At 39.1% G+C, this 23,996-nt stretch overlaps 1 protein-coding gene and 1 pseudogene across 2 annotated transcripts in view; both read right to left on the bottom strand.

Annotated features, from left to right (window-relative positions):
- Window positions 1–2,357: 2,357 nt before the first annotated feature.
- Window positions 2,358–23,996, bottom strand: part of ANKRD30A (ankyrin repeat domain 30A) — a 140,297-nt gene continuing 118,658 nt past the window's right edge. Inside the window, exons 49-55 of one of the 2 annotated variants that reach the window (XR_007062015.1) lie at window positions 19,856–20,134; window positions 19,632–19,756; window positions 15,856–16,004; window positions 6,327–6,388; window positions 5,713–5,769; window positions 3,615–3,722; window positions 2,358–3,048 (exon numbers count right to left, since the gene is read on the bottom strand). The gene's annotated coding sequence lies outside the window, so the exon portion shown is untranslated. Of the gene's footprint in view, window positions 3,049–3,614; window positions 3,723–5,712; window positions 5,770–6,326; window positions 6,389–15,855; window positions 16,005–19,631; window positions 19,757–19,855; window positions 20,135–21,774; window positions 22,665–23,996 lie in introns of those variants that run through there. The other variant, XR_930524.4, reaches the window with a different exon arrangement.
- Window positions 3,615–20,134, bottom strand: ATP8A2P1 (ATPase phospholipid transporting 8A2 pseudogene 1; annotated as a pseudogene).

The raw sequence follows: 23,996 nt of genomic DNA, 5'->3' as shown, positions 1-23,996 counted from the left end.
GGAAACTTAAATCTCACAGATATGTTACTGGGGGAAAAAACACTTTCTGTAATCCCCTACAGAAAAAACATTATCACATATTTTCCATAGCTGAGGGTTTGGCTGGCATTAACCATGATAGATACAATCTGAGTTTTTAACTTACTATAGATCTAAGCTTGAGAAGAGACAAATGGAAAAACAGGTCTCCTTTTAAGATCCCACAAATGTGGCATATTTTCAAGAGAGGAAGGACGCAGGTGGCTTCTTTGATTTCAGAAACTTCAACTGGAACTTCCTAATGTGTTGGCTGGTTGGGTTTCACATACCATATCATGAGATTCTTTACAGAAGATAAAGACTCTTTGATAGTGAAGAAGAATTCTAATTCTACTGTAGAATTATTACCATCAAGAGAAAACCTGCATTCTCCCCCACGAGAAAAACTCCAAATATCATGGACAAAACAAAGAATTCTCTAATCAAATTAGTAAAAGAAACCCCCAGCAGAAACAGTGCATCTTTTTGAAAGTTAAAGATGTTATGGGTCAGGCACAGTGGCTCACGCCTGTAATCCCAGCACTTTGGGAGGCTGAGGTGGGTGGATCTCTTGAGGACAGGAGTTCAAGAACAGCCTGGCCAACATGGTGAAACCCTGTCTCTACTAAAAATACAAAAAGTTGCTGGGTATGGTGGCGGGCACCTTTAATCCCAGCTACACAGGAGGCTGAGGCAGGAGAATCACTTGAACCGGGGAGGCGGAGGTTACAGTGAGCTGAGATTGCATCATTGCACTCCAGTCTGGGCAAAAAAAATGAAACTCTATCTCAAAAAAATAAAGTTATGAATAGAGAAAATGTTTTGTGTGTCCAATCTCTCTGGCTTCTGGGTGGAAAATGCCATTTGCTATTACACAGTAGTTTAATAGAAGAGCATCAAATAACCATGTTTATTTGCCAAAAACCTACTGTTTAGTGAACTACAAAAAATGGTTTATAAAATCACTAGAAGCTGGCCAGGTGTGGTAGCACATGCATGTAATCCCAACACTTTGGGAGGCCGAGGTTGGTGGATCACCTGACGTCAGGAGTTTGAGATCAACCTAACATAGTGAAACTCCATCTCTATTAAATATAAAAAATTACCCGAGTGTGGTGGTGCATGCCTATACTCCCAGCAACTTGGGAGGCTGAGGCAGGAGAATCATTTGAACCTGGGAGGCAGAGGTTGCAGTGAGCCGAGATTGCGCCATTGCACTCCAGCCTGGGCAACAAGAGCAAAACTCATTCTCAAGAAAAAAAAAGAAAAATTATCAGAAGCATTATTCAAATAGTAATTTTAAAAGCATGGTGGCTCACACCTGAAATCCCAGCACTTTGGGAGGCTGAGGCCGGTGGATCACCTGAGGTCAGGAATTTGACACCAGCCTAGCCAACACGGTGAAACACCGTCTCTGCTAAAAATACCAAATTAGCCAGGTGTGGTGGTACACACCTGTAATCCCAGCTACTCCAGAAGCTGAGGCAGGAGAATCGCTTAGAACCTAGAAGGTGGAGGTTTCAGTGAGCCGAGATCTTGCCACTGCACTCTAGCCTGGGCAACAGAGGAAGACTGTGTCTAAAAAAAAAAAAAAAAAAAAAAAAAAAATCTTTTCGATAGCAGAGTTGTGCAGCGGAAGCGTGCCGGGCCTATAAAAAGCAGTTTTTTCCTAGAATACCCTTCACTTCTGAGCATTCACCAACCTAGGAACCTAGACAAATGGGCTTAGTTTGCCAGTCACAAACCAAGTGACCCATCCTGTCAGCTGTCATTGTCCTCTAATTTAGAAAATTGTCTCTGGCAATCAGCTGTGGCCCTGTTTATTGTCCAGTACCAAAAAACTCCCCAAATAAAATATTTATCATAGCAGATCAACTCTGAACCAGAAGGAAGAGGGCACAAAACAGATATCGTAAGCCCCAATACCTTACCAAAAGATTGTTGTCTTGTAGCTGACACTTTGTTTTGTGGGGCTCAATCATGCTGCTTTAAAATAGAATTGCTTTCTTTAAACACACAAAGTTTCTTTGTTGGAAATGCTCATTTTGCTACACAACAATATTCTGGGTTTATTGAATCCCCTCTAATTTCCTCTATTGTCTGAATTTGGAAAAGAACTGAAAAGCACATTAGACATTTGTCCTCTTTTCTTACAAAAAGCAAAAATGCATTAGAGGGCAAGCACGCCCGCTCCTGCAGGACAGGTCCATCCCACTCAGCATCCTCAGTGGGGGTCCTCTGCACCTTGGGATATTAGCCAATTGAGCCACCAGGTCAAAAGACAAGCAACACTACTCAGGGCTACCTCACAAGAAACAGCTGCTGGACACAGTCTAGACTTGGGTTAACCCAGGGGGGTTTGTTTACTTCCGCAGAGTAAGTGAGGCAGAGATAGCAGACAGCTGTGCCATGCCCAGACCTGCCCCTAAAATATGTATTCCTGGGTGGGAAACACCAATTAAAGTCTGACCCACAGTTCTTCCCTTTCCACCTGGGTTCTGTGCCCCAGCATGAACATCCTCCTTTAAACGTCGGTGGAAACACCAGTGCAAACATCAATCTACTCAGTGCACACCCCTTGCAAACAACTGTCCCTTGGGCCTAAGGTTGTGCAAACTGGCCTTGATCTGGAAGGAGGCCCAGGCAGGCCTGGGCAGTGGGCATTTGGCTGTTTGAGAAAGAGGCTTGGGTTCCTGGGAGCCCAGAGAACAGATTAGAAGTGGGAAGACTGGCTGTGTGCATCACAGCTTTTCACTCTGTGCAGAGAAATACACCCAGAGAAGAAGAGCCAGTGCAGAGGTCCCTAAATACAGGGCCCAGCAGCCTGTTTTTGGGGTCTAAGGACAGGAATGCTGCGGGCAACCCCAGGGTGGGGTCTCTGGGATGAACCTGGAGACCTGAGCTTGCACAGCTTCCTTGGTAAATTGAGGAGGCATGGACCACAAGATTGCCAAGCTCCTTTCTATCCAAACTTGATATTGTTAGATTCCATGATCCAGTTCATCACGGTTGATGGCTGAATCTCATGCACTAGAAAAAGGTAATATAAAAGAAAAAAATAAAAAGATATTCAAGTGAGTATAAAGACCTTTAATCTCAGTCTTTCTAGTTCAAAGAGACGGAACAATGAGAGATGCTGGTTCATAGAGCTGTTAGATTTAACTTCCACAGATGACTCAGCAGAGGATAACTACTAATCAGAGTACAACATCAAAACTGTAACCAGTATAATCACTGGATTATGAGCAACTCAAAATAGCTCCAGTTTCCAAAGGGCCATAAACTGCACATATCAGTACTATGTGCAATTAACACATAATTTATTATGAAAATGTGGACATGCCAGGTAAGTAAGGGGATTTAGGTTGACTTTTTATAATACTTTAAATTTGAAATGCCATTTCTGTGGATTGGATGACATCTTCCAGGTGCTTTAATTTGGTTTACCTCCTGATAGATCCTGACAGAAAGAGGTAGCACCAGCGTCTATCAAACCTCAATACAGTTGTAAAACACAGAGAGCCTGCTTGCCTACACATGGAGAAACATTGTTATCACAAGACACAGAAGGCAAACTTCCAATCTGGCATACTTACCTGTCCTCTCATATTTGGGGCAATGAGAATGGTGGACCAGATGGCTGAGTAGATGCCAAAGAACACCAGACTGGTCAGCATGCTTCCCCAGACAGCCAGATGACTGAACTGCAGAGGAAAACAGTCACTCAGACAGGGCTTCTTGGCTGGCATGGCAGATTCACCCGAACTCCACCCACTACAGAATCCCTGCATCCTAGCTACCTCTTCTTATGGAAAGATTCTCATGGCTCATAGCTTACTGGGGAGGTCAATCTTCCTAATTTCCTTGTCTCAGAATTTTTAACAATGACTTCAAGTAATGAGTGTCCCCAAAGTACTCTGAAGATGAACACACTTTTGCTGTCATGGCTGGCCTTTCTCTAAGATTTATCCCATAGTGACAGCAGGCCCCTCTCAGTTCATGGCAAGGGTTTGCTCCAACCTAAGGCTGTATACAACAAGGATTCATTAATCTGGTGAGAGAGTGGCTGAATGGACAAAATCAATAATATGTTTTTATTGATCATTTTGGGACTTCAATTGTTCTGTTCAATTTGCAAAAACTGTTTTTAAAAAAAATCTGAAATGGATATTGCCTCTTAACAATGTTTCTTTAAGCATCTACTGAGTTGTTCATTTTTCCTCCTTTGTCCTCTTAATATGATGATCCTTGACTTCTTTCTTTCTTCCACAACTCACAATCTAATCCATATGCAAGTTCTGTTAGCTTTTAAAAAGATAAAATAAATCCAGGCTCTGACCACTTCTCACTGCCTCCTCCTCTAACATCCCAGGCTAATTAAGACATCATCACATTTAACCTGGATTAATTGCCACTGTCTCTTAGGGCAGTGGGCCCCAACCCACGACACAGGCCATGGACTGGTACCAGACCATGGCCTGTTAGGAACCAGGCTGCACAGCAGGAGGTGCGCAACAGGTGAGCAAGCAAAGCTACCTCTGTATTTACAGCCATTCCCTATCACTGGCATTCCCACCTGAAGCTCTGCCTCCTGTCAGATCAGCAGTGGCATTAGATTCTCATAGGAGCACGAACCCTATTGAGAACTGCGCATGCGAAGGACCTAGGTTGCGTGTTCCTTCTGAAAATTTAATGCCTGATGATCTCTCACTGTCTCCCATCACCCCTAGATGGGGCTATCTAGTTGCAGGAAAACAAGCTCAGGACTCCCACTGATTCTGTATTATGGTGAGTTGTATAATTATTTTCTTATACATTACAATGTAATATATAAGAGAAATAAAGTGCATAATAAACGTAATGTTCTTGAATCATCCTGAAACCAGCTCCTAGGAGACTCATGGAAGTCCCCTTGTCCATAGAATAACTGTCTTCCATGAAACCAGTCTCTGGTGCCAAAAAAGTTGGGGACTGCTATCTTAGGAGATTACCTATTCCACATTGACTTACCACCTCATACTCATTTTTTTTTTTTTTTAGCAGAGCATTTAAATATCAGGCAGGTCATGACACTTCATGAGAAACAAACATAAAGATTTAGATATAATCTTTAAATGCTGAAAATAACGAAAATGTCTAAAATAAGAGACTGCTGAAATAAATGATGGAACATCTATAAAACTTAATCTTTAATCATAAACAATAATTTTGTTGAATTAGATTTTAAGGCATAGAAATTGTGTCTAATTTTTTTTAATAACAAAGCCTTGTGTTCTGCATCATCTTATTTAAAAATACACACACACACAGACATAGAACAATGTCTGGAAGGATCCCCAGCAAAGCATTAGTAGTGGCTGTCTCTTGATGATAAAATTATGGAAATTAAATTTTTTTAGTCTTTATTTTCTATATATTTGTGTATGTATATGCTTTTTGTTTTTACAATGAGGCTTTACATTTGAAATGAGATGACTGTTGTTAGCTTAGAGGTGTATTAGGTGCCAAGCAAATAAATCACCAAGAGAATTTGGATTGCAAATTTGCTCCAATAAAGATCAATCCACAATTTTTACATAACAAATTTGAAATAAGATAGCCAGATGTTGTTTATTGTTTCCCCTAGGCTTAGAAATAAATCATAGCATGAAAATGTCTATACTGAATAGAGAAACAATTCTAGACAAAACTTACTTTAGTCCAAGCTGCAGTCTCAAAACCAGCTTTCTGACAATCAGTAACAAGAACATACTGTGGAAAGACAGAAGAGTTTGAAAAAACATTATTCTGAGTGAGTTATTTTCACTTTCCATGAGAAATCCCATGTCTCCACTCCAGATCTGCTTTCTCCAAGGCAGCTCAAGTTTGAAAATACAGCCATCTCAGCAGCTAACTCTCTAGGGGTTGTTTTTAGGGAACATACAGGCAGATTCACTTCCAGAAGAGCTCTCAATCTAGTGATGGACCTTCTCATAAATAGTAGAGAAAGACTTTCTGTTAGCTTGGATGATTTGGGAGACACCATCTTTCTGAGTGTTGTTCTCCTTTGCAGGTAGATGTGAAATGGTCATTTGAAGAATGGGGAAATCTGCTAATCACCTGTCAAGAAACTCTGACTTTGTATAACCTTCAAAAACAATAATGTAAGCACTTCATAACCATTCAGGCCTTTAAAGGATCTATCAAATACATTTTGAAGATTTAAAATAAGGAATGATAACAAGGAAGGTCTTATATAAAGGGTTTAGAGAAGTACAAGCCACACATGAGCTGCTTAAGAATGACTCAGTAAACAGAGATAAACTTACCGTGTAAACAATATTTTCAACAAATCAACAGGCAGTGGCATGACCACTGGTCAACACAGTATCTGAAAAAGAAAGAGGCTACTGCTAACTTCCTAGATCCTGAGCATGGCCACATATTTTATTCAAAATATTAAACACAGAACTTTAGAAACATCTGTAAACTCACAGGGGCATTTCAAAATCCCATTCTCGTGATTCTAATGCCTAATTTTGTTTCTAGGGCTAAAGTTTTGCATCTTATAGTCTGTCTAAATGAAGCAAACAAAGTCAAGCTTTCAACAAACCAAACAACCAAACACTTGATCTGCATTGGAATTTACATTTTTATGAAGATTAAAATTTCTATTTATCCAGTTTTTTGATAAGGAATAAGAAATTATTAACCTATTTTTATAAAATGCCAACATTGAACCTTTTTTCAAGTGTTCATTTATGATTCATCTTTAATTCTTTGCTAAATTTGGATTACAGATCAATAAAAAGATAACTATATGAATATAAAATCAATTTATAATGGCTGAGTTCTGAAATAATTTGGGGGGATATTTACTACTCATGTTCTTATTTGCAACTATGTGAGTTTCTGGAATCTATCAGTTGGAGGAATGCAAGCAATCCAATGACAGATGTTTAGAAAATACAGGAAGGATTTCAAAGCTTCAGTTTTCCTGTCTTGTCTTGTTTTTTCAAGGATGTCTATAACAATGTATATGACAACCACTAAGGCACAACTCTGGGAGAGTCATCTAATCATGTCAACTAAACCTGCACGGAGAAGCCTGATTTTTATCCTGAGGGGTCAGAGCCTATTTTTAAGATAAGCCTCAGTATCTTTGTATGACAGAGCCAACCACCTTTTATTCTTTTATATTTTTTTCAACTTTTATTTTACATTTGGGGGTAAAGTGCAAGTTTGTTAAAAAGATATTGTGGAATGTTAAGGCTGGAGTACAAACAAATCCATCATCCAGGTAGTGAGCATAGCACACAATTGGTAGTTTTTCAACCCTTTTTTCTCTCCCTCCCTTCTCATGTTCCCCAGTGTCTATTGTTCCCATCTATATGTACATGCATACTCAATGTTTAGTTCCCACTTATAAGTGAGAACATGTGGTATTTAGTTTTATTCTTTTTTATACTCAGTCCAGATTTGTGGCTCACAGGCTGGGTAGATAAAGACTTTTGTGTCCAAATTTCCAACCAGTAGCTGCTATACACACATATCTGGGCCTGCCGATTTTCCCATTTGCTTGTTGAAGAATCGACTTTTATGAAAGAATCAAGATCTGTTTATTTTCCTAAAACAACAGTAATGACGGAATCATAAGTAGAAGTGGGTAACCATGGGTCCCTGAATCCAGCTTCTAGGCACACACTTTCTCCTGTTTCTCCACAGTTAAGTTTGTGGATAAGGGAAGATTAATCATAAAAGCAATATTATAGGCTGCCCTAAACAGAGGGCCTGCTGCTGGGTAAGGTAAGAGTTACACTAGGAGAACAGGAAGACATATGGCCACTGACTTAAAACGGAACAATCCTAAATCTTAGGGGAGAGGTGGAAAATAGAGCCTGGAGCTTAGGCAGGACTTTATTAAAAGGGAAGGAAGGGAGCAAGTTAAATAAGGAATGGACAGGCTAAACTAACCCCAAGAAGGCAGCAAATCACTGTATTAGCAAATAGCTATTCAAAATTGTAGGAGTTTACTTTTTAGTAACTGGCCTTAAGATTGGTTTTACTAACAAGCGCAACACTATTTTTTCTTTTTTAGTTTTCTCTCTCTTTTTTTTTTGTCCTTTTTATAATGGAAAATTTCAAACATACACAAAAGGAAAGAATAGTACAACCACCCCCCGGGTATCCATAACCTAACAATAACAATTGTTAAGCATTCGGCCACTCATGTTTCTTCAGCTCCCCCACCTCCTCCCTATCCTCCCAGGTTCCCACTGAATTATATATCATTTCATTCATAAATAATTCTGTATATTTAGTTACAGCTCAATGAATTTCCACAAAGTGAACATGCTCATGCAAACCACACCTGCACTGGGAAATAGAAATTACAAACACCCGGAGCCCCCTCTGCAATACTCTCTCAGTCCTTTCCTCACTCCTTCCCAAAAGAGTAGCTACTATCACCTATTGTGAACCTTGCATATATGGATTCATAGAACATGTGTATTTTTTGGTTTGGCTACATTTGTCTAACATTGTTGGTAAGATTTATCCATGTTGTTGCATATAGCCATAGTTTATTTATTTTCATTGCTCTATAGTATTTTATTGTAAGAATACACTACAATTTAGTCATCCATTCTACCATTGATGCACAACTGGGTTGCTTCCAGCTCTTGACTATGACAAATAATGCTGCTATGAACATTCTTTTGGTACACACTTGTGTGCATTTCTGTTGGGTATATAACAAGTATGAAATTGCTGGGTCTTAAAATATTTATATATTAACTTCATTAAATGCTGCCTAAGAATTTTTCAAGTGGTTGTGCTATTTTACCTTCACCAGTTCTAGTTGTTCCATATCCTTGCTGTCACTTGGCATTATCTGTATTTTTTATTTTGACCAGACTGGTCTGTGTGTCATAGTATCCCATTGTCATTTTAAGTTGCATGCCTTTGATGAAGACATTTTCTGATGCTTAATTGGCTCTTTGAATATATTCTGTAACTGATTTGTAGGAGTTTTTTATATATTCTGGATATAAGTTTTTTATTGAACATAAATATTGCAGATATCTTCTCCCACTTTAACTTCCCTTTTCTTTCTCTTAATCATGACTTTCTTAATACAAAGTTCTTAATTTTAATGTAGTCCAACTTAGCAGACTTTTTCTTTATAGTTAATGCTTATTTAGTCTTGCTCAAGAAATTTTTGTCAACTCCAGTGTCATAAAGATACTCTCTTATGTTATAGAAGCTTGTTTTTTTTTTTTTTTTTTTTTTTGAGATGGAGTCTCACTTTGTCACCCAGGCTAGGGTGCAGTAGCACAATCTCGGCTCACTGCAACCTCCTCATCCCGAGTTCAAGCAATTCTCCTGCCTCAGCCTCCCGAGTAGCTGGGACTACAGGTGTCCACCACCATGCCTGGCTAATTTTTTGTATTTTTAGTAGAGTAGGGGTTTCACCTTGTTAGCCAGGATGGTCTCAATCTCCTGACCTCATGATCCACCCACCTCGGCCTCCCAAAGTGCTGGGATTCCAGGCATGAGCCACCACTCATGGCCATTGTAGAAGCTTTTTTTTTTTTTTTTTAATTTTTAACCTTTCACATTTAGCTTTATAACCCACCTACGATTGACCTTTGTTTATGATGTAAGATAGGGGTCAAATTCTTTTATTCCCCCATAATGATATCCAAGTGATCTACTAACATTTATTGAAAAGATTATTGTTTCCTCACTACACTGCAGTTTCACCTTTGTCATAAATCAGGTGATGGTATAAATATGAGTTTGTTTCTGGTTTCTTTATTTGTATGTCCTTCTGCTAATACCATCTTATTGTAATTGTAATAAAGATTGAAACATCTGATGGTATACATTCTTGAGCTCTGTTCTTCTTCAGAACTTTCTTGGTTCTTCTTGGTCTTTTAAATTTTCAAATACATTTAAAATTAGCTTGTCAATTTTCAAATTACCTGACAGGATTTTGAGTAGGATTGCATTCAACCATAATTTAGTAAATAGAAATGACTTATTTACAATATAGAATCTTTCTGTTCATAAGCATTTTGTATCTTTTTAATGTACATGATACTTATATCCTTTTTTAAAATTTTACTTTAAGTTCTGGGATACATGTGCAGAATATGCAGGTTTGTTACCTAGGTATACATGTGCCATGATGATTTGCTGCACCTATCAACCTGTCATCTGGCTTTTAAGCCCCACATGCATTAGGTATTTGTCATAATCCTCTCCCTTCCCTTCCCCTCCAACCCCTGACAAGCCACAGAGTGTGATGTTTCCCTCCCTGTGTCCATGTGTTCTCATTGTTCAACTCCCATTTATGAGGGAGAACATGCAGTGTTTGGTTTTCTGTTCCTGTGTTAGTCCGCTGAGAATGATGGCTTCCAGTTTCATCCATGTCCCTGCAAAGGACATGAACTCATTCTTTTTTATGTCTGCATAGTATTCCATGGTGTACTCTAATTTGTATATGTACAAATTAGAACTCAGGATTAAGAAACTCACTCAAAACCACAAAATTACATGGAAATTGAACAAGCTGCTCCTGAATTACTACTGGGTAAATAATGAAATTAAGGCAGAAATAATGAAGTTTTTTGAAACCAATGAGAACAAAGAGACAATGTACCAGAATCTCTGGGACACGGCTAAAGCAATGTTAAGAGGGAAACTTACAGCACTCAATTCCCACAACAGAAAGCTGGAAAGATCTAAAATCGACCCCCTAACATCACAGTTAAAAGAACTAGAGAAGCAAGAGCAACCAAATTCAAAAGCTAGCAGAAGACAAGAAACAACAAAGAACAGAGTAGAACTGAAGGAGACAGAGACACAAAAAACCCTTCAAAAAATCAATGAATCCAGGAGCTGTTTTTTTTTTTGAAAAGATTAACAAAAGAGATGGACCACTAGCTAGACCAATAAAGAAGAAAAGAGAGAAGAATCAAATGGATGCAATAAAAAATGATAAAGGGGATACCATCACTGATCCCACAGAAATAAAAACTACCATCAGAGAATACTATAAATACCTCAATGCAAATAAACTAGAACATATAGAAGAAATGGATAAATTCCTGGACACATACACCCTCCCGCCATGAAACCAGGAAGAAGTTGAATCCCTGAATAGACCCATAACAAGTTCTGAAATAGAACCAGTATTTAATAGCCTACCAACCAAAAAAAAAGCCCAGGACCAGATGGATTCATAGCCGATCTCTACCAGAGGTATAAAGAGGAGCTGGTACCATTCCTTTTGAAACTATTCCAAACAAAAGAAAAGAAAGGACTCCTCCCCAACTCATTTTATGAGGCCAACATCATCCATACCAAAGCCTGCCAGAGACACAACAAAAAAAGAAAACTTCAGGCCAATATCCCTTATGAACATCGATGTGAAAACCCTCAATAAAAGACTGGCAAAATGAATCCAACAGCACATCCAAAAGCTTATCCACCATATGCAATACTTTTTTAAAAGGCATGCTTCAATAAAGAAACACTTCCATTTATTCAGGAGAATAATCTTTGAGTCTAACATAGATTAACACAGATTAGTCTATCTCTTTGAGTCTAACATAGATTATAGCCTTAAAATGAATAAGATTCTTCTTTTATGTACTCAATAAATGTTTACTTACAGTCTATTTTATGCTGGGTACTATTATGGGAACTGGAGAGAGAAGGTCTGTCTTTATAGAGCTTGCAGTATAGTGACAGAGATAGAACATGTATTCATAAACAGTTCCACACTAAAATGATGGGTGTAATAAGTGCTACGAAGAAATATATTAGCCAAGTGTGGTGGTGTTCACCTGTGGTCCCAGCCACTTGAGAGGCTGAGGCAGGAGGACTGCTTGAGCCCCAGAGTTTGAGGCTGCAGTGATCCATGATTGTGCCACTGCACTCCAGCCTTGGTGACAGAGTGAGACCTTGTCTAAATAAAAAAGCATAATAATACAAAGAAACATAAGGTAGGGTAATCACATTCAGGGAGACAGGGACTGCTACTTTAGATAGGGAGCTCTGGAACAATCTTTTTGAAGAGGTGACACTTGAGCAGGTCAGAATGGTATGATGGAATGAGTTAAGTGAATGTCTAGAGGGCAGAGAGAAGAGACACTGTGCAGAGTCTGAATACAGACAGCGCTTGATGAGCCCAAAGATCACCACAAAGACCAGTCACGCTGCAGGCACTGGGAGGAGGAAACGAGAATACACACAGTCCAAGGAGCAGATAAACACAGACCATAGTAAAGAGCTTGGATTTCTTTGTTAATTGTGATAGGTAACCACTGGAGGATTCAGAGCTGGGAATGAAATGGTATAAGATACATTCTTACAGGAATAGTCCAGCTTTTATGGGAGAATAGATCATAGATTACCAGAAATAGAATAATAATAAATGCAAAGGCAGCTTAGAAATGATTATATCTGTCCAGGGGTTGATATTGGTGGTGTTAAAACTGTGAGGTCCAATATGATGGCCACCAGCTGCATTTAGTTGTTTACATTTAAATTAATTAAAATGCCATAAAAATTTATTCCTCTCAGGAGCTCGGGAGGAAAGGGAGAATGGGGAGTTATTGCTTAATGACTACAGAGTTTCAGTTTGGGGTGATAAAAAATTTTTGGAAATACATAGTTGTGATGATTGCACAACATTCTGAATGTAATTAATGCCTCTGAATTTTATGTTTAAAATGGTTAAAATGGCAAAGCTTATTACATATGCTTTTACCACAATAAAACATTGTAACATTAATCATAGAACCAAAACCATAAAACCATTTTTTTAATTGTATATATTTACAGAGTACAAGTGCAATTTTGTTACATGGATATATTGGGTAGGAGTGAAATCTGGGCTTTTAGTGTGTTTATCACTGGAACAATGTACACTCACCAATTTCTTATCACCCTCCCCCTTCCCACCCTCTTGCCCTTCTGGGTCTCCAGTGTCTTATCATTCTACACTCTATGTTCATGTGTACACATTATTTATTTCCCATTTTTAAATGAGAACATGCAGTATTTGATTTTATATTTCTGAGTTGCAAAACTATAAAACTCTTAGGATAAAAAATAGCAATAAACCTTTATGGCCTTGGGTTTGACAAGAGTTTCTTAGATATGGCACCAAAAGCACAGTGATAAAAGAAAATGAACCGGGCTTCATCAAAATTAGAACATTTGTCCTTCAAAGGACATAACAAAGAAAATAAAAGGAGAGGGCCGGGCGCAGTGGCTCACACCTGTAATCCCAGAACTTTGGGAGGCTGAGGTGGGCAGATCACGAGGTCAAGAGATTAAGACCGTTCTGGCTAACACGGTGAAGCCCCGTCTCTACTAAAAACACAAAAAATTAGCTGGGTGTGGTGGCGGGCACCTGTAGTCCCAGCTACTCGGAAGCTGAGGCAGGAGAATGGTGTGAACCCGGGAGGCGGAGCTTGCAGTGAGCTGAGATCAAGTCACCACACTCCAGCCTGGGCAACAGAGTGAGACTCCATCTCAAAAAAAAAAAAAAAAAAGAAAAGAAAAGAAAAGAAAAGGACAACCAGAAAAGTGGAGAAAATGTTTGCAAATTATATATTTGATTAGAAATATGTATCTAAAACACACAAAGAACTTTTACAACTCAACAGTGAAAAGAAAAAAAACATAAAAATAGACAAAACATTTAAATAGGCTTTTTTGTAAAGAAGATATAAGTGTCGAATAAGTGCATGAAGAAAAGCCTAAGATCACCAGCCATCAAGAAAATACAAAATCAAAACCACAAGGAGACATCACTTAACACCCAATAGTGTGCCTATAATAAAAAAGGACAAACAATAACCAGTGTTGGTGAGGATGTAGAGAAATTAGATCTTTCATACATTTCCAGTGGGAAAGTAAAATAGTACACACTTTGGAAAACTGTGAGGTGGTTGCTGAAAAGAATATACATAGGTAGCTTATGACCTAGCAATTCCATTCCTAGGTACATACACAAGAGAAATGAAATTTATGAATGAAACATACAAAAGCTTGGTCCTAAATGTTATAGCAGCATTACCATAATTATTAATAATAGCCTAAAATAATACATAGCATTTTTCATTATTCACAGTAGCCTGTTCAGAACCCAAATGTTGATAACCCAACAGTGAATTGGCAAGCAAAATGTGTTGTATCAATATAATACAAACTTATTAGGTCATAAACATTAATGAAGTGCTGATACACGCTACAACATGAATGCACCTGGAAAACCTTTATAATAGACTGGGCGCAGTGGCTCACGCCTGTAATCCCAGCACTTTGGGAGGCCAAGGCAGGCAGATCACAAGGTCAGGAGATCGAGACCATCCTGGCTAACATAGTGACACCCTGTCTCTACTAAAAATACAAAAAAAAATTATCCAGGCATGGTGGCGGGCACCTGTGGTCCCAGCTACTTGGGAGGCTGAGGCAGGAGAATGGCGTGAAGCCCGGAGGTGGCGCTTGCAGTGAGCCAAGATGTGCTACTGCACTCCAGCCTGGGGGACAAAGTGAGACTCCATCTCAAAAAAAAAAAAAAAAAGAAAAAGAAAACCTTATAATAAATGAAGAAGCCAGATACCAAAGGCCACATATTGTATGATTCCATCTCTATGAAATGTCCAGAAATTGTCACACCTATAGAGACAGAAAGAAGAGCAGTGGTTTCTAAGGACTAGCGCTGCCTGGGGGGAAATAGAGAGTGATGGTTAATGAATATAGGGTTTCTTTCAGAGGTGATAAAAATATTCTATAATGGATTGTAGTAATGGTTGTACAATTCTATGAATATGTTTAAAAAACTATACAATTGTACACTTTAAATAAATTGTATGGTATATGTTGTATCTCAATAAAGCTATTATTAAAAATTTGGTTCCTCAGTCACTTTAAATATGCAATAGCCACATGTGGCTAGTGGCTATTGTATTGGACAGCACAGATACAGCACATTTTTATCCTCACAGAAAGTTCTATCAGACAATGCAGGGTCAGAGTGGCTATGATAGACATGGTAAGAAGTGATACAAGTTGAAATTATTTCAAAGGTGGAAACGTGTGCCTTCGCTTTCCACTTGCATTTGCCCTAAGAGAGCCTACAGAAAACTTTGATTGGTGAAAAATTTAGAAGTTGTGGGAGACTAAGCTGAAAATCAAATTTTGCAGTTATGATTTAACAAGTTTTTGAGTTTCCTTCTAATAACAGTATTTCCAATGCTGGTTGATTCTTAGACTAAAAGAAATTAAACATAAAGGGCATTTGTCTAAAAGGACAATGTGTTTCATATTTTATGGATGTACACATAATAAACAAAATTGTTAGATATTGAAAAAACATCTTATATAAGCACTTATATATGACAAGCAGTTTTAAGCACCTTACATATATTAGCGCCTTTAATACTTTAACAACTATTTGAAACAGTGTAATTAAGTGCATATTCCAGATGAGGTACAGAAAAGAGAAGTCAAATATGTCCAAGGTCACACAGTTAGTAAAAAAAAAAAAACTGTAAATTTTATAAACGAGTTTATATTCATGAACTGGGATAGAATAATGGCCTCCAAAGACTAAAAAAGATAACTTCAGAGGAAAAAAAATTAGACTAAGAAATACTCATTTGAAAAACTGACACCTAATAGAAAATTTCCAGGAGAGAATTATGGTGAACAGTAATAAGCTATAGGTCGGAAATAGTTTAAGCTAATATGACCCAACAATGCCATGAGCAGAGGGAGGTACCACTAAGTTTTATTTTATACATGTGCACTGTTATTTTAGTATATAAAACATACCTGATCTTATAGGAGCATTATTTATTTTAAAAGTGGGAAATGGCCTTCTCCAAAACTGTTGAAAGGCCTAGTTGCTTAATTCATGCCTATATATAAGTATCCATATGGTATTCTTAAAAGATGAGGAATCGGTTTCCATGGTGTGGACTCTGGGGAATCAAGAACAAATGTTTTCAGGAGCCATTTTTTATGGTAACTATGTTCTCTTTTCCATCACCTCCCTCTAAAATTTCAAGAAGAACAATCTGAAAACTTCCTTTTTAAAATCAAAACTTATTTTTCATTCTCCTGCCAATAACCACATTACACTTCAAGGAGGGTTGCTCGACTATGCTTGACAGGACACATGATGGGAAAACTCCAGTGTGGCCTGACACCAGGTATCTTAATGGACTTGGGTTCCTGTAAAGGTGACATGCTAGTTTTAACCTCGAATCAGTTTTTAGATCAAAGGCTAGGAGCAACCATGGGAGTACGCATATGGCTGTGATGGTTGAAAGAAATTTGATTCACTGAATTGCTTGAGTGGAAAAATTCACTTTGAAACTTAAAATGAACTATCACAAACTCCATCATCAAAGGAGCACTTTGAAAATTCTCTCTAAAATCACATGAAAATAAGCAAAGTGAAATTCTTGGAAGCATTCTAGTGAATGAACAATGTACCCATACGTACTCAAAAATATTTCTTCCAAATAATCATGTTGCTTTGCCCATGGTGAACATTGCTGATTTATGCTTGAGGCTCTCTGCATGGATGGCGGAGAAAATTGGTAAGATTTCCTGTCTTTGTGACATGATCCACACAGTATCAAAGGAAGAAATGAAGCCACTTTAGCAACTTTAGTACCTGGTCAAACAAAACTCATGTAGGGCTCAGGGTGTGGTCAGGCATCTAAGGGACAGCTTCAGGCAGCACTTGGTGAAAGGAAATAAGCCTGAAGGTGACCCTGTGTTAGACAAGGGTCCTTTGGCTTTGACAGCACCCCAGTTTGTCTCAAATTTCGAATTGGTGCCATGTTTCTATGCTTTTTTGGGAGGGAGGAGAATAAATTCTTCTAAATGACAATTAAGGGTGTAATAAGAACTCACTCATACTTAGGACAGCAAATCAGCACACCTATAAACAAGTACTCCAATCAGTTGTCATATCCTAGTTCTCTGGAGCTCACAATCCTTATTCCTACCACCTTTCACTCCCCTCAACTCAATAGCAGCCCCTACTCTTGCCAGATTGTATGTTTTTCTCTACAGAGCAGTCCTATCTTCTTTAGAAGCAAATCTTACCAGGTGACTCTCCTATCACCAACTCTTCATTGAGAAGTCCCTCCACCCACGTGTTAGTGATAAAGTCCTCCCTCACTTATTTGTCCCCTTTTCTAGCCCCCATCTCCTCTCTATGCTGTAGTTATCTTGACTGGGGTGGCTGTCCACCTTATAGGGGATGCTAGAAATGTGTAGAGGTGTGTTTTGATTGGTAGCTCCAGCAGGATAGGGAAAGTGAGAGGAAAGTGTCTTAGTTTTTCTGATCTACTGTAACAAAATACTATAAACTGCATGGTTTATAAACAATGTGAATTAATTTCTTAAAGATCTGGAGGCTGAGGAGTCCAAGATGAAGGAACTGGCAGATTTGGTGTTTGGCAAGGGCCCGTTCCTCATAGATGGTGTCTTCTTGCTATATCTCACATGGCGCAGGGGGCAATAAGCTCTCTGGAGTCCCTTCTATAAGGGCACTCATCCCATTTGTGAGAGGTTTGCCCTCAAAACCTGATCACCTCCAAGAGGCCCCATCTCTTAATACCATCACTTTATGGTTTTGGGTTTCAGCATATAAAATGTCGGGGTCTGGGAGCACAAACATTCAGATCACAGTAGGACGTTACCATATTTACTGGCCAGGATGAGGGGTGCTCAGTGTCCTGAACCCCTCGTCAGAGTCTGGCAAAGGAGAGTCAAGTTCAGGCATCCCCATCCCCAATAAAACACTTCCCATAGCCACAACAACTCAGGTCCTATGCCTCTGCTTGATCCTGGCCATGAATGCTCCTTCTCTGAATCCTTCCCCACACCTCCCTGACCTGTATGGCCACCCCCTACTCATCTTTCAAGAACTTCAATATCACTTCCTTGGAGAAGATTCTCCTGAACTTACTAAACTATGTTCTTTTATTATATAAGCTCTACCCACAGACCCCAGGACTCATCACATTGGTAAATAAGCAATATGTACACAATTTTTGACCATCAACTCTGACCTTAGGCAAGCTCCCAGAGGGCAAGAGAGGCAGGGCCTGGTGTATTAACATCTATATCCACTGTGCTCTCAGAGAGCCTCTTACATCATAGATATGCCACAATCTTGACGAACAAAGACACTCCTCTCAAAACACACTCCCTCCTCTCCAAACACATCCCATTCCTGGGTTTAATTCTCCCTAAACTCTCCCCTGGAATCTCTGCCAGTAGTTTTCCTTCTACTACTCACCTTAAAAGACACATTTGGCTCATTTCCCCAAAATGGTCTGATCATAAACATTTTTTAATTTAAATTCTATATTGACCCTTCAATGCCTAAGCAATTAAGTCCCAATTTCTTAACCTCACACTCAAAGCCTTTACAATTTAGTTTTCAACTGCCTTCCTAAACTTCCCCATCTTCCACCCTTTAAGTCCTGATCTACTCACAGTTTTCCACACCTACCCTGAATTTCCCCACTTTAGTTTCATTAATAGTTTTGTCACTGCAATGACAGAACTGTTAAAGCCCAGCTTAAATTTATTTAAAAGTTTACAAGTTGTTCTGGGAATCATATAGTTTGATCCTCAGTAGTGATAAAACAACATAAAATTATGAAAAATGTTATTATAACATAATGGAATTTCCTCTACTTTAAATATTTATTTTGCACCATCCCTGACCTCACTACCAAAAAAAAAAAATTCAAAGTGCCTGAGGTTTCCAGGCATTCTTAGCTCTATTTACTTACTTCCCACCTCAAATGGCCTTAGAATTCAAATTCTGTAGAAAATGGATTGCCATAAATAATCCAATGAAAATGGGTCATATTTTGCCATTAATAGAATCACAGTCAACAAGGACTAATAGAATTAGTCACTTAAGTATCTTTAGATATGGGAGACAACAGAAACAATAAGAATCTCTTCTCTTTGTTCCCAGCCTTGAATATAACTAGGAAGCCTTCCCAGAAGAAAGCAGCTGTGAAGGGTACCCATCAGGAATATCCGGCTCAGAAGCCAGGGCCTCAGAGACTGTTCTCTCACTGAGACCTAGAGAGGGAACTCCCTGTGTTATTCTCACTGATGGCCCAGGAACCACCCTTGCAAGTCATGACCACCAGCATCATGTAGCACTGGAACTGATCTGGGCAATGACCTCTGTCTAAACTTCTGAATCCCCTCCGACAAAGACCCAAGACAGCAGCATGGCCATGCAGCTGTGCTCACATCTCACCCCTGCACTGGCCAGGAACACATCTATCTTTCCTTTGGGTAGGGTCACCCAACTGCTCTGCCACTTCCAGCTGTGAAAGGCATCTATGTGACAGACCCCTCTGCAGTTTGAAACTGTGTGACAACTTTAACACCCAACTCAGCATCTGCATGGGTTTCTGAGAATTACCTATATCTTTTGTGGTCTCTTTGCTGATTCTCTGTTTCATTAAAAAAAAAAAAAAGTGACTCGTGATCCCTGAGTTCCTATATAGCCAATTTTACTCACTAGCTAAAGAAACACTGTATTTAAAATGACAAACCTAGCAACAATTAGGCAAGCTCTCATCAGGACTCCATGCAGGGCTGTGTGATTGCCTAAAAAAGTCTTCCACAGCGGATCTTGAACTTGGACCATGGGGGCTGCTGCCCACATTGACCTCAGGGGCTGATGGGGGGAAGCAGGAAGGAGTCAACACACTGGAACTGGAGAACATACCCCATGTGGCGTGAACTCATCACCCAAGAAGAAATCTCTGTAACCTACTTGGCTTGCTGTGTGTGCTGGGATGGGAGTCACGGTCTCAGTGATTTTCAAGTGTTCTCTTTCAAGCTTCAGATATCTCATAGGCAGATGACCAGAACTGAACAGTGGAAGGCAGGGCCTTTTTGAGGTGACAATTCTGAGATCAACCTTATTTACCCTTGTGTTGAAGTCTTTGGCATTCTGGGTGATTTTGTAGAGCTGGGGAAACCTGAGCATGCTCTCCCGAGTGCAAGACCTCTGGAAGACTCCCAGAGTGAAAGGAGGCATAGCGGTGAAAATCTGCAGGGAGAACAATAAGCCATTAAGAGTGGCCCTTCCAATTCACATGGCTTCAGTGTTCCCTTCTACCACATGATTTTTTTTTTTTTCAGTTTTACTTTAAGTTGAGGGGTACATGAGCAGGCTTGTTACAAAGGTAAATTCATGTCATGGGGGTTTGCTGTACAGATTATTTCATCACCCAGGTATTAAGCCTAAGTATTCATTAGTTATTTTTTCTTTTTTTTTTTTTTTTTGAGATGGAGTCTCACTCTGTCGCCCAGGCTGGAGTACAGTGGCACGATCTCCGCTCACTGCAAGCTCCGCCTCCCGGGTTCATGCCATTCCCCTGCCTCAGCCTCCGGAGTAGCTGGGACTACAGGCGCCCGCCACCACGCCCGGCTAATTTTTTTTTTTTTTTTTGTATTTTTAGTAGAGACGGCGTTTCACCACGTTAGCCAGGATGGTCTCGATCCCCTGACCTTGTGATCTGCCCGCCTCGGCCTCCCAAAGTGTTGGGATTACAGGCGTGAGCCACTGTGCCCGGCCTAGTTATTTTTTCTGATACTATTCTTCCTCCCACCCTCTGCCCTCTGCAAAGCCCAGTGTACGTTGTTCCTCTCTATGTGTCCATTAAAATCCAGTCAAGTACAAACCATGAGATTCCATGATTCACAATGCCCCAGAACACCCTCCAAAAAAAGAAAATAAAATACCATTTTTATAATAAATCACTATAAGATAAATGCATTGAACACTAAAAGCATCATAAATATTTTATTGGCCATGAAATCTTGTTAAATTAGCAACTACCTTCCCGTGTAAAATGAGGGCTGATGTGGAGTGACACCACCGTTACCTGAGCCAGGATGATAAGGGGGTCCTCTGTGCTTTACCTCTTTAAGGAAAGTAACTCTGAAACAACCAATCACTTTTTGTTCTTTTTCTGTTTTCTTTAGCCCTTTTCTGCCAATAAAGCTAACCCCCCTCTGCTCAGCTTATTGAAGAGCACTCATTGTATTTCATAGAATGAGATGTCAACCAATTCTAGAATGGCCAATAACAGCCAATTAGATTTTAAATTGTTGTAATTTTGTCTTTTGACAGAGGAACGTTCTAGGAACTCCTGGCCTCAAGTGATCCACCCACCTCGGTCTCCCAAAGAGCTAAAATCACAGGCCTGAGCCACTGTGCCTGGGCTCTGGGCACATTTATTAACTTAAACAATGTCTGGAGACATTTTTTATTATCACTGAGGGAAGGGGTGCTATGATGATGAGGTGCTATTGGCCTCTAGTGGGCAGGATCTGGTAAGCATCCTACAATGTACAAGGGAACACCATACACAAAGAATCATCCCATCCAACATGTTGACAATGCTAAGATTGGAAAATCCTTCTCTAGAACCATCCTTAATGCCTCTATATCTTCCACTCATTTCTGAAAAGAGCCTGGTAAACAGATCTACCACAGGCACTAAAGCTAGCTCTTGGAAACAGAAAGAACCCCCTGGCTACTAGCCTGGCCGAAGTAGGAGAATTGCTTGAACATTGGCAGTCTCATGCATAAACTATGAAAATGTCTAGTGTTTTTAAGAATTATAAGAGAATTAAAATGCAAAGAAATAGTTTGCTAAGGATAATGGCAGAGTGTACATGGAGTTAAAGTATTGAAAATTCTCTTTATTATCATCACATGAAAAGACAGATTAAAAGAGTCCTAAGCAGAATATCAACATACCAAAAGTAGCAATGAATAAAAACAAAGTATTATCACAATCAAGTTCAGTTTATCGGACAAATGCAAGGTTAGATTAACAAGAGTAAATAATGTAATGCAATTCAACACAAGTAACAAATGGTTTCTTAAATGATCATCTCAATAGATGCAAAATAAGTAATTTTTACTTTGTAAAATTGAACTTTGATTCACAATGAAACTTTGAGACCTAGTATTAGAAGAGAATTTTATTACTACAATTATAATGGTAGCTCCAGTGATTTTTGCACCTTGGTGTTCTCACTTTGTACACTTCTCTTTCCCTGAATATGACTTGCCTCTGGTGAACAGAATTTTGCAGATGTAGTTAAGCTCTAAAATCAGTTAGTGTTTGGCTCATCAGTAGGGAAATTATCCTGAGTGAGCCTGATATACACTGATATGACAGGCTATTCTTGCTGACTTGATGAAGCAAGCAGCCATGTTGAGGAAATCCACATGGCTAAGAACTGTGACCAGCCTCTAGGAACTGTAGGCAACATTTAGGGCCTGAGATTACCCAGCTAAAAGTCAGGAGATAGCTTGGGATTTCAGTCATACTGTCATAAAAACATACATTTTGCCAGCAAACTTCATGACCTTGGAAGCAGACTCTTTCCCAGTCAAGATTCCAAATGAAAATTCAGCCCAGCTGACACCTTGATTGCAGCCAGATAAGACTGAGCAGAGGACCCAGTTAAGACATGAGCATACTTCTAACCCACAGAAGCCATGATCTCATAAATGTCTGTGGTCCTAAGATGTTATGATTGTGGTGATCTATTATGCAGTCCTGCAAAACTCATACAGTAAACTAAAAGATATATATTATGAAAACAAAAACCCACTATCTACATAGAGATTGAAATATATTGTTTTCCCATTACAATTTCAACAAGATATGGATACCAATTGTACCCACATTTATTCAACATTATTCTTGCAGTAGAAAAAAAAAGAAATAAAACCTCTTGAACTACAAAGAAGACTGTTACTATTTACAGATGGTATGTGTATATAGAAAATCCTAAATATTGTACAGATCAAATATTCAGATAAGAAAATAACAAGGAGTTTAGCAAGACAGCTTAACTAATCAAGTTCAATACACAAAATATCAACTTTATTTCTGTAAGCAAGTAACAAAAAGAAAAAATATATATAAAAATAAAATTTGTGATAGGATCAACTATACCAAATACTTGAGTATAGATGTTAAACTAGGCAAGATCTCTATGTGAAATTTTTTAAAATTAATTAAGTTAATAAGACAATTGAAATATTAGTAGTGTGAGAATACAGTATTATCTCTTTTCTGCCCAAATTATTAACTCAATGAAATTCCAATCAAAATCCTTGCTCTGCAGAGCTTTGTGTATTGATTATAAAATGTATATGGCATTTTCCCTCTCTTCTCTTTCTGAGCATTTTTATTCATGAGCATGGAGATAAAACAGAAAGCTATGGTTGTCCAGAGTGAGGAGTTGGGGCCTGGAGACAATGGGAAAGACCTAAGTGTGGGAGCACCACCCTGCACAATGTTAACAATCAAGTGAGAGCACCCCTGAATGGTGGGTGAAATAGAATAAAATATCAAAAACTGAATAGAGTCAGGAGGCATCCATGCAGAGATGGAGAAGGACAGCCTAGCATGGGTTTTCAGCACCTGAGCAGGAAAAATATTCTGTGTAAAAGGGCAGCTTGGCACAAAATATCTGAGAAAGCATGGGGTGAAGACAGAGGGAAAGCAGCAGAGGTAACCTGATGAAGGATGCTGAAGTCCCAGAGGGAGTGAGTACTCGCCTAAGGGCAGGGACACAAGAGACTGGTCACACAGAATGGTATTGAACAAATAAGTGAGGATAGCAGGTCCTTGAATAATGCCATTTCATTCTAACATGGATGAAAAACAAATCTCATCTGAGGTCTCTGTCTATGAGGAGTTTAAATGTTCTTGTTATGTCTGTATGGGGTTTCTTCAGGGACTCTTCTTTTTGTCCTACATCCCAAAGTTCTGTACATGAGATTAACTGATGTGTCTACGTGGTGCCAGTCTGACTAACAGTGGATGTGTGTGTGAGTGACCCTGCAATGTCATGATGTACATGACGTTGCTTACAAGTTT

This window comes from Homo sapiens, chromosome 10 (genome assembly GCF_000001405.40).
Source record: "Homo sapiens chromosome 10, GRCh38.p14 Primary Assembly".
In the NCBI taxonomy this organism is placed as follows: Eukaryota; Metazoa; Chordata; class Mammalia; order Primates; family Hominidae; genus Homo; species Homo sapiens.
This window is presented reverse-complemented; position numbering and strand designations above follow the sequence as displayed.